The following is a 17,144-nucleotide window of genomic DNA, read 5'->3' on the forward strand; positions in this document are numbered from 1 at the left end:
AAGTATTAATTTGGGGAACTAACAAATGTCCATGAAATCTTCACAATTTATGTTCTTCTGCCGTGGCTTCAGCCGGTCCCTCCGTTCAGGTTCCCTGACTTCCCGCAACAGTTCCAGGTGGTTATATTCATTTAAAAGGGCTAATTAAATCTCATGCATAAATTAATTGAGTGAAAATAGACTCTTGAAGGGGCTGACTTCTCCAAAAACTAATTTACTTACTAAACTGTATGCTGAAGTCTGAAGCCCATAGAGGGGATGATAAGCTAAGGAAAGTATAACTTGATTGAATTCTCATTTGCCTATGCCTGCTAAGAAAGGTGGCTATGGGTGGCCCTTTTAATCCAGAGATCTGAAATCACAAGTTAAATCAAGGTGATTATACACTAATACTCAAACAAATAAAGGGAGTGGCTAATGAGTAGAGAGTGTTTGTCTTTTCAGCTTTGACTATTATTGTATCCTTGGTGCCTAGCACAGTAGCTGGTATAAGTATATACACTAGAAACATTTGTTGTGTATATGAAAGATATTAATCTAACTACCCAAACCTTCTACCTTAATTACAACGAAGTAAAATTAGAAAATAAAAATTCCTAATGTTCTCATTCTGCTCTTCTAATCAACTAATGCTTCTAATGGCTACCATTGAAACTTACAGGAGGACCCTTTGAATATGGAAAGTTATTGAAGAAAAAGGCATCTAATCTATTGAGTCCATGGGGAAAAAAAGATGAGAGAGAATAAAATAATTTCTTCTAGCCAACATAGCAGCTGGGCGATCAAATTCAAATAGCAAGCATCGGAGTCCATGCTATTCAACCAGTCATGGGTAACTGGGTTAGCAAAGGAGGGAGCAATTGTAATAGCTACCCAAGTAGAAGGCAAAAAGATTCTATGAGTCAGATCTGGTCAGTTCTGTAGTTGGTGATCTAGGTAGAGTATCTGCAAAATACTTGCAAAATGTTAGCAAGCCTGAAGAAAGAACTATGTCCTGGAGTGGGAAGTGTTTGGAGTTGCATTGAGAATATTTACTGAATATTACTGAATATTTACTGAAAAATTTACTGAATAAATGTTGTTCTTTGCTTCCATGATTAAGAATATACTTTGGAAAGAACCAGACTTATAGTGACAGGATGTAGTGAAGGCAAGGATGTGGAACAAAAATGAAGTACACTATGGTGGGAGTATGAATGAAACAACTAATTTGTATTATATTAGAAACATGAAGTATACAAGGCCAACTACAGTGGCTTACGTCTGTAATCCAAGCACTTTGGGATGCTGAGGCAGGAGGACCACTTGAGCCCAGTAGTTAAAGACCAGCCTGGGCAACATGGGAAAACCCTGTATCTACAAAAATTACAAAAAAATAAGCTGGGCATGGTGGCACACACCTGTGGTCCTAGCTACTTGGGAGGCTGAGGCAGGAGGATCACTTGAGCACCCTGGAGGTTGAGACTGCAGTGAGCCATAATTGCACCACTGCACTCCAGCAATAGAGCGAAACCCTGTCTAAAAAATAAAAATAAAAAAATAGGCCAGGTGCAGTGGCTCACACCTGTAATCCCAGCACTTTGGGAGGCTGAGGTGGGCGGATCACAAGGTCAGGAGTTCGAGACCAGCCTGACCAACATGGTGAAACCCCGTCTCTACTAAAAATATAAAAATTAGCCAGGCATGGTGGTGCATGCCTGTAATCCCAGCTACTCAGGAGGCTAAGGCAGGAGAATCGCTTGAACCGGGGAGGTGGAGGTTGCAGTGAGCCGAGATTGTGCCATTGCACAATTGTCACAGCCTGGGTGACAGAGTGTGACTCCATCTCAAAAAAAAGGAAAAAATGTACAGCAACGTGTGTACATCTATACATACATGTCATTCTTTGAAATTTTATGTGACTCTTAGATTTTACATCTACTTTGATTATTTTCTTTCATTTGCCAGAATTGATGTGTTCTGCAAATGCTGTTCTCAATTTCAGTATTATCCTAATTACAATTACCTTTCTCTTTTTAGCCCCTGGAGGAACGCGCATAGATGATGGTGACAAGACCAAGATGACCAACCACTGTGTGTTTTCAGCAAATGAAGATCATGAAACCATCCGAAACTATGCTCAGGTAGAGCCTGTTTGAGAGACTGAAGCATTTGAAGAGGACTGAGGAAAACTCTATAGAAGCTCTACAGTCCACCCACTTTTTAAATAGGAATCTTAGAAAGCCTTTAAACTTATGAAAATAATGGGCATTAAAACTACAAAAATAGGCCTAGCAGTGTGGCTCGAGCCTATAATCCCAGCGCTTTGGGAGGCCATGGCAGGCGGATCACTTGAGGTCAGGAGTTTGTGACCAGCCTGGCCAACATGGTGAAACCCCATCTCTACTAAAAAATACAAAAATTAGCTGGGTGTGGTGGTGGGTGCCTGTAATCCCAGCTACTTGGGAGGCTGAGGCAGGAGGATCACTTGAACCCAGAAGGCGGAGGTTGCAGTGAGCTGAGATCGTGCCACTGCTCAACCTTGGTGACAGAGTGAGATTCCATCTCAAAACAAAACAAAAAGAACTACAAGAATATAATGCTTTTTTTTTAACCTCTCTTGTGGGAATTTAAATATTTATTCTTGGATCAGGAGAATTCGTTTTTCTTGTATACATGTTAAGGAATATGTAAGTATTAGTGTAAGTTGGAAATAAAATTTATGGGATTTTAATGCAATTTATTTCTTTTTCTTATTGTGTGTTAATTCCCTGCCTGAGTCATTCTTTCTCCATAAAGGGCAACCATATTTTTTACTCTTGGACTCCATCTTGATTACATTAGGAAACGAATACACCAAGAGTTGTAAGTAGGAATATAGCCTGTGTGTAGGAGAAAAAGGAACTAGATTAAGAAATCATTTCCACAGTTATTAAAATAACCAATATTTACAAAATCCTCATTTACATAAAAACATCATTCCACTTAGAAAACTGTCTAGAATCTTACTAATACAGTTGCAAACTTTGCTTCAGAGTTCTAACAGGACTGTAGGGGCCAGTCATCCTTTATTGCCAGTAAATTATAACACGTTTTGCTCATCTGCTAGAAACATGTTTGTTGTCCACCTAGAGTAGAATCTGTCCTGCACTTTGCTCTCCTCCCCATCACATCGTTGTCTAAGTGGTTATATCTTTAACACCTTCATTTCCGTGATTTTTAGTCTCTGCATCTCACAGTTTAAAAATCACATTTATTTTATTTTCGTCGAATTTTTTTTTCTACCTGCTATATTCTTGAATGAATTTGTTTTATCTTACGTGTACATTTTGATCATATTTGTTCCCCTAGGTCATGATAGCATCTTTGAAATGCTTATAGTTCTTATATTACAGTGTGAGCCTGTTTAACTATACACTTTTATTATTATAGATCTATGGTGTCATTATAGTGAGTTTCTATTACCTACTTCTGTGTCTTTTTGGTTGACCTAATATTTAATGGTTGTTTTTTTTTTAGGTCTTCAATAAACTCATCAGGAGATATAAGTATTTGGAGAAGGCATTTGAAGATGAAATGAAAAAGGTAAAAATTCAAATATAATGCCTATCTGTTTTATAGTAATGACATGGGGGTGGATAAAAATTTTATAAGTGGCCGGACACGGTGGCTCACGCCTGTAATCCCAGCACTTTGGGAGGCCGAGACGGGTGGGTCACAAGGTCAGGAGTTTAAGACCAGCCTGGCCAAGATGCTGAAACCCTGTCTCTACTAAAAACACAAAAATTACCCGGGCATGGTGGCATGCACCTGTAATCCCAGCTAACTGGGAGGCTGAGGCAGGAGAATTGCTTGAACCTGGGCAGCAGAGGCTTCAGTAAGCCGAGATCACTCCACTGCACTCCAGCCTGGGCAACAGAGCAAGACTCCATCTCAAAAAATAAAATAAAATAAAATTTTACATGTACAATGATATTGCAGAAGTGCCATATATGTAATAACATGTATGTGAAACACATAGTGAGTTTTTAATACATGTTTGGTAAATAAGTATGAAAGATCATTAGCTAATAGCTATAGGAAGAAATATGTGATTATTCTGGACTTTTTCCATTAATATTTAATGTAAGACAGTGTGCTTTGTTCAGTAAGAATAGTTTTACGGGCTATAACCTCTGACCTTGCAGAGATTAAAATGAAAACTAGATAAAGTGATTTAAGTAGTTAAAGCCTATGGAAGAATGTAGCACAGCAGCTAATGTTCAGCAAAATTCTTTAATTGTATGCAGTTTAGCAAAGGGAATAAAAGCACCTCTTTGGAGATAGAGTATATAGGTGTAATTCTCAATACTCTTTCTCATCAGTGAAATCCACAGTAGCATCTCCTTAAAGATGTCCTCTTTTGAGTAATTGCATGTTCCCTCTTCCAATTTGTAACTCCTGTATTTATATATGGCACCCACTACCTTTACTTGTTTCAGATTTGTTTGTTACTTTGTCATTGCTTCCAATTTTAGATAACTATCTAAAGTAAAAAACCAAGTGAAAAAAGTAACCATAACATATACTTACTTCTTCCCTACTTACTTACTCTCCCCGCTCCTCCCCACCTAACTGCACCCCACCCCACCCAGTTCAAAGTGGTTCTGTGTATAATATTGAAGAGCAATTTGGCAATAGTCATTAAAAGAAATGTTTCTTACATGACCCATGACCCAGCCGTCATGAATTTATAAGAATCCATTAGCATGGATATATAAAGCTATATGTATGAAGATGTCACCACAGTATTGAAAAATAGCCTAAATGTTCATTGGTGGGAGATGAAGACTGTTTAATTAAATTACAATCTATCTATACAGTGGAATACTATGCAGTCTTTTATACTTGTAGGCATAACTACATGTATTAATAAGGGAAAATGCCCATGACAAATTAAGTGGAAATGCGAGGTGCAAAGCAACCATTTGGTAGTAGTTTGACCTGGGGCAAATTACTTAATATCTTTGTACCTTAGTGTTCTTTTCTGTAATTGGAGATGGAGACTGTTGTAGGTATTAATACACATAAAGGGATCAGAAGAGTGTCTGGTCCACTCAACAAGTTTTAGCTATCATTAGCATATAATGCAGTAAAAAACAATATGTGTGTATACATGTAATTATGTTTTAATGTTGATTAATATAATTGAGCAATGTGGTTATTATTTTTATGATGATCTAATTTTTGTACCATTTCTATGTGATTAAGTATATTTTAAATGAATATGGTTATATGTGTGAGCTTAAAGAAGTGGTGTTAAAATTTTATTTTAGAGGCTAATTTTTATTATTCTCGTTTAAATGTTATTTATTTTTATAATGGAGGAAAAGGACAAATTGACATGAACTGTCTATATTTATGTTAGTTCTTTCATTCTTCCCCATTTCTGATGCTCCTTGGAACTTAAGCCTTTCAATCCCTCATTCCCTCACTCCCTGGCACTTACTTAGATGTTAACTTCTTTTTAATTTGTTGAGAATTTAATAGGTATAAATTGAGAGGCAAATGGACTGGTTTGTTTCCAGTTCTGCCACTTTCACATAATGTAAATAGTCTATAATATAATAATCCTTCAATTCTTGGGGAATAGTAAGTTAATATTTTCTTATCCCCTACACAGTTAGTGGAATAATCATGTCATCAGGGTGGAGACACTTAAGTCTCTATCAATGCCAGTGAATTTTGCATTGGCGCAAAATAATGGAAAATCAGCAAGGCCCCTGTGGTGATAGTGGCCCCTGAGGAATTTCCATGGCAAGCCTAATAACTGCTGAAATGGAGAAAGTAACAGTAGAATGTAGTCAAAGCACAAAGCAGAGGAGAGTCAGGAGAGAGAAGGGCATCCCACAGGGCTGACTACTCTTAGAATTTAATACAGGAAGTGGGTTTTTCGTTTTATTTGCTTTGAGCTTACATTCAAATTTTCTAGGGTTGCTACTTTTTTAGTTCCCTGCCTCTGGGGCAAGAGAATCTAAAAGTTTACCAAAAAAACATCAAGAACCTAGAAAACCCCTTTCTCCCTCAACAGTCTTGTTTTGAAGACTGTTGTATTCCGTGAGCTCAGAAAAGTATATATTAAATGTCAAAAGCTTAACTTCGACTCTTTCCTGTTTTTTTTTTTTGTTTGTGTGGGGCTTTTTTTTGTTTCTATGTTTTTGCCGTACAAATTCTATTCAGAGAAAATGGGTACATGTAGCAGGGGAAGAGGTAGTCGCCCAAGGAAGTGGAAAAACTTGAAAAACAATACATTTCAGAAAACATGTCCATCATGTATACTTAACTCTCTTGCATGCACATAGTCAAACATAAATCCATCTGTTTACATATCATCCAAATATCTCTTTTCCTTTCCATGAATGTTATCTACAGCTGTGAGTAAATTAACTGAGAAGAAAGGAACTCTGCCTGCTCAAGTCACTTTCCACAGCATCCAGTTTATCATGAAATGAATTACTATGCTTTGCATATGACCTTCTGTTTGTGTGCCACGTAGCCATGGATGTTCACAGTTTATCTTCCCACTTCAGTCCTTTGCTTCATAGACATGGTTCCTTTTTTTTTCTTTTTCTTTTTCTTTTTTTTTTTTTTTTTTTGACCCACAGCTTCTCCTCTTCCTTAAAGCCTTTTCCGAAACAGAGCAGACAAAGTTGGCGATGCTGTCGGGGATTCTGCTGGGCAATGGCACCCTGCCCGCCACCATCCTCACCAGTCTCTTCACCGACAGCTTAGTCAAAGAAGGTAACGAGGCTCCTGTTTTCTCGCCTGTCAGACAACAAAAGAAAAATAAAGTCACAGATAGTTAGAAAAATGCCAGTGGCTCTTTTTGGTGTCCTCTATTACTCATTCTTCATTTAAGAGAATATCTTTGTATGGGTGTATATTGCCTTTCAAATAATAAAAGGAGTGGACTTGTTAATTGTAGGAAGTTTGAAGGAAAAAATATGCACACCTGTACAAAGACATATTAAGAAAGACTAATAGCAAATTAAAATCTCATGGAAGACTTGATGCCTAGGTCAAATACCCCGAAATCGATCTGGTAATCTTTTTGCCCTTCGACACAAAATGGCAGCCTTTAACTTTCACCCCTATTATAAGAACAAAAACTGTTCCCCTCTCAAGGTCTAGAGAAACTGATGCTCAGATATTCATTTTGATTGCACTTTTTAAGATACTCATTGTCTCAGTTTTAGAAAACAATTTTAAGTCTGCTGCATTAGAAGGAGTCTTGTTTTAATTTTAAGGCATTAAGGGTTGGATAGGCATGCATACCATGGTTTGGTTATAGAATAAAATAAAAGTCGGCTGTTTACTTGTAGGAGGATAATGATAGTCAAATTACAATGCAACACAAAACAGTTATTTTTCCTTAAAAATAAATTAAAAGAGCTTTTGTGAGAACATCTGTTTCTTCTGAGAACTTAAAGTTTTCCTCCTACATATATGAAGTCCTAGCTTCATTCATGCCTATAGTGAAAGAAAGGAGTCATAGTTTTCTTGTAGCTAAGGAAAGAATAGTAAATTGAGAGTCAATTGGTCTTATTCAGAGACTCTTCCTAGTTTTTAGCTTAAAATCACTCAGATTTATGACAATTCAGACTCTGTAATTGTTAGATGTTATTAGTATTATGACATTTTAAAGTATTTCCCTGAAGAAAATTCACAATACAACACACATCTTATTTTTGCTATTAGCCATTTTGCACACAGAAAGTCAACATAGAATATAAATGTTAATCATTAATTATTTTAAATTATCCTAGCCAACATAACAGAAAATAATTGCCTTTCTAGTTTTTTTAAAAACCTAAGTGATGTCTGTAACTTCCTTTGTAATATATCCAAAAATTACGTTATTAGGTGGATAGATATCTGATAAAGCAAATACGGCAAAATATTAGTTATAGAAACTAGATGGTGGGCATGTGAATGTTCATTGTTCAATTTGTTCAACTTTTCTGTATGTCTGGAAATTATTGTAGTAAAATGTTTGGGGGGTGGTGAGGAGAAAAATAACTTTGCTATGGAAGTAACATAGTACCTCTGTTATATGGCTTTTCCTTAAACTCTGCCATCTTTTACAAACTAGAGGTTTAAACCCTTGCTTCCTAATTGGAAAAGGATTAAGAAAATGCTGGGTATGGTAACTCATGCCTGTAATCCTAACACTTTGGGAAGCTGAGGTAAAAAAATTGCTTGAGGCCAGGAGTTTGAGACCAGTCTGGGAAACAAAGCAAGACTCTCTTCTCTACAAAAAAAAATTTAAAAACTAGCCAGGTGTGTTGGCACACCTGTACAATCCCAGCTGCTCAGGAGACTAAGGCAAGAGGATTGCTTGAGCCCAGGAGTTTGGGGCTACAGTGAGCTATAATCACATCATCTTACTACAGCCTGGGCAACAGAGAAAGACTATCTAAAATAAAAAAAAAGAAATAAAGAAAATGGTTAAGAAATTAATCATTTTCCCCAGCTCATCCAATAAATGACCAAGGGAGATGGGATTATCCTACTCAGAGGAGTAACTATAAAGAAAGTTAAATCTCAGTTTTAGGCTCCTAGTTTCAAGCGTAGTTTTTCTTTACGATACAGATTACAGCCTAGTGTTAATTTATATTAAATTTTATATTGGTTTTATGAGCTAATGATAATGCTAAAAATTCATCTTAAGTTGTTTAACATGAACTTTCAGTTAAGGTGTAATGCATGTTTTGTTGTTATAGCCGTTTTTGTTTTTTTTTTAACTTAGTTTCTTTGCTTATTCAAGGGAAGAAAATCAGGTTTAGTTGGTGTCTATATGAATGATAGACCAATTAAATGCTTTTACTTTCCAGTTGCTGGAAGACCTGGGTCAAATTGGTATATAAGGACATGGATTTCTTATGTAACAATAAATAGAAAATTAGGACAGACCTCAGGCTGAACAGCAGTATCATTCAGGACTTAAGTATTTTTCTCCTGTTATCATTCATAGCATTAACTTCATCCCAAGGATGGTGCCCCCTCTAGTTGTTATAAGATGCCTGCTGACACAGTTATGGCATATTCTTCCTGGTTCAGGTTCAGTGGAAGAACACTTCTCCTGAACAGAGGATAATTTATCTTTCCTTCAGCTGATTGGCTGACACAGGCTGCATGACTAGTGCAGGTCCAGTAGCAATTGCCAGGGGCGTGCCTTGGGCAGATGAGCTTAAGCGAGGTCACTAAATTAATCATCAGAAAGGGGTGGTACCAGGACTTAGACTAATCAGTAGTCACCTGGACTGGATAAAAGGGGACCTCTTTTAGGAAGGAGGTAAAGAGAATAGAGGCTGCTTAGGCCACATTATCATTAGCTCATAACAATAGTAGAACCTTCAGTTTAGAAAAATCAGTTAAATGTTTCAGTTACATCTTAACTCTTCATTAAATAACCGCAACATAAATTTAGAAATTTGAAGTGTTCATAGAACTGTCTTCTTGTTATCTGATTATTTCTATTTGGAAATAAGTGGTAATGTAAATGTGGACATGTGATTAAATGGTTTCCTGATTTAACATAACTAGCTTAATAATGATTTTTTTTTAAATCCAGAAGAGTTTAACTTGAAACAGCCTTGGTATTTTTATAGCTTAACTCAAGAATATTTTAAAATGCTTTTTATGGCTGCGTGCAATGGCTCATGCCTGCAATCCCAGCAATTTGGGAGGCCAAGGCAGGTGGATCACCTGAGGTCAAGCGTTCAGGACTAGCCTGCCCAACATGGCGAAACCCTGTCTCTACTAAAAATACAAAAATTAGCTGGGTGTGGTGGTGCATGCCTGTAATCCCAGCTACTTGGGAGGCTGAGGCAGGAGAATCACTTGAACCCAGGAGGTGAAGATTGCAGTGAGCCGAGATCGTGCTACTTCACTCCAGCCTGGGCGACAGAGTGAGACTCCATCCCCCCAAAAATAAAAATAAAAATAAATAAATAAAATGCTTTTTATAAAAAGCAAAACTAAGGTAAATGATATGTGTTCATCTATTCGTAGCAATACTTATTGTATCTATCACTATCAGTGTTCTTGTACTGGCATCCTTTATTAGCAAATTACTTGATAAAGGTGACATTACAGTTTTGTGTCTCCTAATTTACTTTCTTGTGCCTCAAGATCACTGTTATAAAGATGAAATACATATGAACCAGAGGGTGAAATAAAGGCAATAACACCAAAGATACTGGGTGTGAAATATGTTTTTGACCAAGGTAAAATAAAATAAACTTGCAGTTAGACCAGGTTGGATTCAAGGAGTCCAAATTTGAAAAATATTTTAATTTATTTTCCTTTTCCTGAAAATGTTCTAGTTTGAGTAATGAGAAGAGGAGAATTTGCCTAGAGGTCTATTGACTTTTCATTTGTACCAAAATTAGTCTTTTAGTTATTTACACATTTCAGGAAACCTGGTTGCTTTGCACACCATCACAATTGGTTTTGCTCGTAAAAGGAATGAAATTCTCTTTTGTTTTTCAACAGGCATTGCGGCCTCATTTGCTGTCAAGCTTTTCAAAGCATGGATGGCAGAAAAAGATGCCAACTCTGTTACCTCGTCTTTGAGAAAAGCCAACTTAGACAAGAGGCTGCTTGTAAGTGTTTTCTGGTTAAAGAGTTGTATGTATGATGCCTTTCTTGGAGCTTAAGCAATGCCTGCAATGTAGTATATGAGTAAGATCCCTGGATCTGTGTTGACTTGGAGCACTGTTCCTTTTATTTCTGTGTAATTGGTAGTAGAAGCTAATTTCATTTTAATCTTTATTTTGTGAACAAATGGCACAATAAAATTAAAGAATTGTGAAGAATATAGACTTCCAAATTTGTAAGTTTGTTGACATAGTATTAACATTTCATCAGAATTAAGACTTTGTTTTATAGCCATAACTTTTTTACTTTTTTTTTTTTTGAGACAGAGTCTGGCTCTGTCACCCAGGCTGGAGTGCAATGGCACAATCTCGCTCACTGCAACCTCTGCCTCCGGAGTTCAAACAATTCTCCTGCCTCAGCCTCCCGAGTAGGTGGGATTACAGGTGCTCTCCACCACACCCAGCTAATTTTTGGATTTTTTTTAATAGAGACGGGGTTTCACCATGTTGGCCAGGTTAGTCTTGAACTCCTGACCTCAAGTAATCCGCCCACCTCAGCCTCCCAAAGTGCTGGGATTATAGGCGTGAGCCACCACACTCAGCCTATAATCATAACTTTCTAGACATTTTAAGGTTTTAATATGATAAAAATTTCATCAATCTCACTTAATCAAATACTTGTGATGTCTGTCTTGAGTAGCAGTCAGACTGTGCTAATCTCAAATGTGTGTTAAATAGTTTGCTAACAAAATAAAAGTTTAAACAAGATTTCCCTGGAAATACTTAAGCTGTTGCAGAAATTAAACAAGTTAATTGTGTCACAATTGCTTGATTATATTTTTATTTCTCCATCTTTGTGTTTTTCTAAGAAAATCCAGAAAAATATTTTGTTCTTGTAATTTCTATCTGCTCCCTACAATTTCTTTCTTCTTGATGCAGCAGCTGTGAAATGCCAAGATTTCTCCAGGTGGAATTGCTTTTACAGTTCTAGGATGAAGTGTAAAAATAAGACACAGCGCTGCCATCTCTTCACCTGGCCTGTTCTCTGTTGTTCTCTTCCAATGTGTTTCAGTGTGCAAGGGTCCAGTCCCATGAGATAATTCTAAGACTATCTCTTTTCCTCAAGAACACATGAAAGTAATTTTAAATGTAAATACTTGCAATTTAAATCACTTAAGAATACTTTGTTTCTTGAAGTTTACCTTAAATAGATTTGTGTGTTTAAAGTTTTTAGATTATGGTAAAAAAGGTACAGAAGTCTAGATTCTAGTTCATAATAATTTTCATTCCTCATGTTTCCTGAATGTCTACCCTGTGCTGGGCATGGTACCACAAGCTGCAGAGCCAGTAGAGAACAGGATAGAAAAGTTGCCTGCCCTCGTGAAACCTACTTTCTAGTGGACTTAGGGCAAATCCCTGTAAACAGAAGCAAAAGTCACAGAAGATAAGTGAATAGGTTGCTGAGGAAGGTGGAGGTTCATATGAAGGGAACATATTTCTTGTCCATGAGGCTGTGGGTTGTCTATAGATTAGCTCTATCTTGGCTAAGCCTGGCTTAGTTCCACATGCCTTTTCATTCGGGCACAGGCTGAGGGAGCAGCTCCCATCTGGGCCATTCTGTCTTCATGGCAAAGTACCAGAACACAGAGACTGAACTGAACGTCTCAAGTACCTTAAAAACTCACCTATGGACGCTGCCATGCCTGGCAATAGATTGGGAAAATCCAATCCACTAATAGGCTGCTTCTCCACCTCTGCAGATAGACATAGCAAGGAGGGGGTTCTCTTAATACTCTTTTGAAGAAGAGAAGGTGTATGATTGGGAACAAAGATACAATCTATCCGGTTATTTCTTAAAGCAGTAATTTTCTTAAAGATATTCACAACTATAGCCTGGTTAGCTTAATTAGATGGCTTCATTTATAAAATTCATTTTCTTTTTGGAAACACATGTCATTTAGCTGTTTTTACTAGGTTCTGTGTGTGTGTGTGTGTGTGTGTGTACATATGTGTGTGTTTGTGTATATATATGGAACATAGGTGGTGGTTTCTGCGAGAAACATATAAACTGGGTGAGAACAGCGTAGTTGCCTATGCACTATGCCTGCCTGATATTTGTTGAATCAACAAAAGAATGAGGAACTAGTGAGTCAGTTCCACTCTTTAGGAGGAAATTTTGTTTTATGAACATATACAACAAAATTCTCTTTAACTGTGAACTACTACATTTTAGGAAAAGTTGTGTATTACTAGACTTTAGCTATCACCCACTATTACAATACAGAAGAAAGAGCAATTTATAGCAACTCAGAGAGGTGAGGGGATGGGAGAAGCCAACCCTTATTACTGACAAAGAGAATAGTGATTAAGAAATCAAAGATATTGATCTCTTCCATTATTTATTCAATAAGTATGTATCGATTATATTATATGCCAGAAACTTCCAAGAGATGGGGAGATTGAAAGGAACCAAACCAACAGACCCTTTCCTTCATGAAGCTTATATTCTATTTCAGGAGAGTGGGCCATAAACTAAAAACCGTAAAATATGTATTATAATAAAGGTAAAAATTAAGTAGGGGCCAGGTGTGGTAGCTCACACCTGTAATCCCAGCACCTCAGGAGGCTGAGGCAGGTGGATATCTTGAGATCAGGAGTTCAAGACCAGCGTGACCAACATGGTGAAACCTTGTCTATACTAAAAATACAAAAAATTAGCCGGGCGTGATGGTGCACACCTGTAATCTCAGTTACTCGGGAGGCTGAGGCAGGAGAATTGCTTGAACCCGGGAGGTGGAGGCTGCAGTGAGCTAAGATCACGCCACTTCACTCCGGCCTGGGTGACAGAGCAAGACTCCGTCTCAAAACAAAACAAAACAAAATTAAGTAGGAAAGAGTTAAAGAGCTTCCAAATGTGGGCTGTAACTTTCAGTGGTGGAAAGCCCTCTGTGATAAGATGACATTGGTGTAAAGACTTGAGGGAGGTGTGGAGTGAACTGTTTAAATATCTCCACATAGAGCATTCCAGGCAAAGGGAATGGGAAATGGGAAGGCCTTGGGGCATGGGATATTGGGGACCGCAAGGGGAGAGCAGGTGAGAGCAAAAGTGTAGATAAGCTCAGAGAAGTAGCAAGGCCCATATCATCTAGGGCTTTGGCTTGTATTCCAAATAAGATAGAAAACTTTTGGAAATTCTCTGCAGAATGGTGTGTAATGTGATTTTGACTCTCAACAGGATCACTCTTGCTGTCACTTTGGGAATAGACTCAGGAGCAAGAGCAAAAGCAGAGAGACCTTAATCTAGGGATGAGATGATACAGATTTGTACCACGGTATGGTTTCTCTAAAAAAATACAAACCATGTTCCAAGTCAAAAAATGACATGGTATGATTTAGACGGGCTTCCCCTCAACTTAATCTGAATAATGATTTTCAATGTATTATATACTATTCATAAGAATTTGGAATGTAGTTCATAAGTGAACTACGAGTGATATGTTTAATGGCATATTGCTCTGAACATAACTTTAAATCAAACTTTGCAGTCACACTCTTCCTAAATAGAATATTGAATGCTAGCACAGAGTAATGGAATAAGTATTGACTTGGGGGCACACAGCTCTGTTCTTAAATATTTTTGGTGGCATAAATTGGGTCAAGCTGCTTAACCTTGTTGAAACTTGGTTTACCGTCTAGAAAAATGTCTGCTTTACACAGTTATTATGAGGAAAGTGCCAGTACATTTTGATTCATAGAAGAAACTCAATAAAAATACATTAGTTCCCTTCCCTGCAGATTTGGAAGATGTGGAGCAGTAGAGGAAATATCAGTGACGCAGTTTCAGTGTGGTATAAAATGTTTGCTTTATTATGAATGCGTGTTTGATAGCTGCTCCCACCAGCTCTCTTCTGACATTTTTGAAACATATGACTCAACAGGGGAAATTAATAGGATGATAGAACATTGAAATTTGAATCCTGACATAGGAGCCCTCCAGCTGTGTTCCTATAGGTGGTGGCAAACCCATTGCAGATCTACTGAGGCTCTTTCTGGAACCACATAGCCATTGGCCATATATATGCAAGTCTAACCAATACAAAAGCTTGGATATATTTTTTAGACCCTGCAGCAGTCTGAAAAATGTGAGAACTTTGAAAATCATCTTAATTTCATAGATGGGAGTTGAACTCACCCAGGATTAGATCATGACTAAGTGTTACTGAGATTCTGCCAAACTGTGTAGGGTAAAATGGAAATGAGGTGAAAATATGAGAGCAGCTATGGTATATTGCTCTTTTTGAAAATTTCCATCAGAATTATGTAATAAACTAGAGTTGGTAGGGTAGGTGTCTTAGACCTTTTCTATTACTTATAACAGAATACCTGAAACTGGGTTATTTATACAGAAAAGGAACTTATTTCTTAACAGTTATGGAGGCTAAGTCCCATGTCAAGGGGCTGCATCTGGTGAGGGCCTTCTTGCTGGTGGGGACTCTGCAGTGTCCCAGGAAGGCTCAGAGTATCACATGGCGAGGGGGCTGAGTGTGCTAGCTCAGGTCTCCCCTCCTCTTTTTTAAAGCCACCAGGTCCCCTCCCAACATAACCCACTAATCCATGAATGGATTAATCCATTCATGAGGGCAGAGCCCTTATAATCCAGTAACTCTTTAAAAGCCTCATCTCTCAGTATTGCCACAGTAGGGTCCAAGTTTATCTCAATTGCTTACCCTTTTTTTCTTTTTCTTTGTGAAACTGCCTGATTTCAGAAGATGTTTAGCTCAGTAAATATACCAGAGATTTGTTGTTTTGTAAAACAGTCTTTATTCTTTTCTTCCAAATGTGAGATATTCTAAGTGAAATGAAGACTTTTGTCCTTTATGCTTGCTGAAATTTGAATGGCTTGTTTTATAGCAGTCTTTTTTCCCTTTTTCAGGAACTCTTTCCAGTTAACAGACAGAGTGTGGATCATTTTGCTAAATACTTCACTGACGCAGGTCTTAAGGAGCTTTCCGACTTCCTCCGAGTCCAGCAGTCCCTGGGCACCAGGAAGGAACTGCAGAAGGAGCTCCAGGAGCGTCTTTCTCAGGAATGCCCGATCAAGGAGGTGGGAGACCACGGGCAGACATCACCTCAATACACATGAATGAGAGGAATTACATGGGCTGTGTAGCAAAGGCTTTCCTTAACAAGTCTGTCCTATGCTTATTGCTGTAAACTTTGTCCACTTATTCCTACCATTTAAATTAACTCAGCTTCAAAGTATTGATTTAGAATCCTCCATTTTTGTTAACACTCTAGGATGGTCCAGAAATTAATAGTGATTTCCACACAACTGACTTATTTTACCAGGCTGCTATGATTTTCAAAATATTTCATCTGTCAAAGAGATTTGACCATCCACTATCAGTATAGCCCATTATATGGTAGTTTTAAAATTTTGTTGCAGGTTATCTAACCTGATTAAGCATTTGTCTAGTGTTTGGAATTAACACTGGATTTTTTGTTCATCACTCTGTATGAATATGTAACAGGCTTTTTATTTGAAAAAAGTTTGAATTCCTGTCATGGGAAAAGACTAGTTGGATCAGTGACTTGTTTAATCCCACTCACACTTGGAAGAGCTGTGTTTCCCTATAATGTAAAAGCTATATTTTTTATAATACGCATATACATAGTTTATATATACATGCTATAGTTCACAAAGCAATGACTATATCTTTTTTTTATTTTTAGTGTATCTGGAGAGAGCTTTCTATTTGAAGTTTTAAAATCTTTCATGCAACAATTTAAAAATTAATATAAAGCGTCCTTTCTTTTTTTCCACGTGCTCTAAAATGCCTGACCCACACCTCCTTCCATGCTCCAAGCCCTGCTTGGCAGCTCACATGGTTGAAGCCTGGAGAATGTAGGACTGATACTATCCAGCAGGTGGAGGTGTTGGAATGACAAATATTCTTAAGTCTCATGGTATTAAGGATAGCAGTATATTTAATCATATTTCTCCAAGCAAGAATTTGTACATTATTTTCCATGGGGAAAAGAAGCAAACATAAAAAGCCTTGTGATGCTTGTAGATGCCAGGATGTCACACTTTTATGTGGCTTCCTCCAGCCAGCACAGGGACTGGGACTGCCCGGCTCCTTCTGCTTTTGAAGGCTGCTCAAGTCACTGCTGGCATTTCTACACTCCAGGCCAGAAGTCAAGAAAGCAATGTGTTTCCAGCAAAAAAGAAAAGGGAGGGAAAAAAAAGGTGTTACTACTACTCACAAAGTAGTATGCTGGAGATATACGATGACTTTCAATCACTTCTGAGGCCCAAACCTCTATTTATTATTTTATTTTAAAAGGAAAAAGCCTTTCAAATAAATTTTAGGCAAGCCTATATTCCATACTCTCAGGGTTGAGTATAAATTTGCATATTTATACATAATTCAAAGGAGAAAATAAGTTGCTGAATACTGCTGAATTGATGTATATGAAATTTAAAAATTGCCTTTGCACTTACAATTTATTTACAAATTAACT

At 37.5% G+C, this 17,144-nt stretch overlaps 1 protein-coding gene across 7 annotated transcripts in view; it reads left to right on the forward strand.

The window, feature by feature from the left end:
- BZW2 (basic leucine zipper and W2 domains 2) overlaps positions 1–17,144 on the forward strand; it is a 60,337-nt gene that overhangs the window by 33,101 nt on the left and 10,092 nt on the right. For 5 of the 7 annotated variants that reach the window (NM_001159767.2, NM_014038.3, XM_006715707.2 and 2 more), the window contains exons 4-8: positions 2,020–2,123; positions 3,499–3,564; positions 6,624–6,759; positions 10,516–10,625; positions 15,553–15,723. In NM_001159767.2, coding sequence (NP_001153239.1) covers positions 2,020–2,123; positions 3,499–3,564; positions 6,624–6,759; positions 10,516–10,625; positions 15,553–15,723 — 587 coding nt within the window. The remainder of the gene's footprint in view (positions 1–2,019; positions 2,124–3,498; positions 3,565–6,623; positions 6,760–10,515; positions 10,626–15,552; positions 15,724–17,144) is intronic. The other 2 variants (NM_001362718.2, NM_001362719.2) reach the window with 1 other exon arrangement.

Source organism: Homo sapiens, chromosome 7 (assembly GCF_000001405.40).
Source record: "Homo sapiens chromosome 7, GRCh38.p14 Primary Assembly".
Classification (NCBI taxonomy): Eukaryota; Metazoa; Chordata; class Mammalia; order Primates; family Hominidae; genus Homo; species Homo sapiens.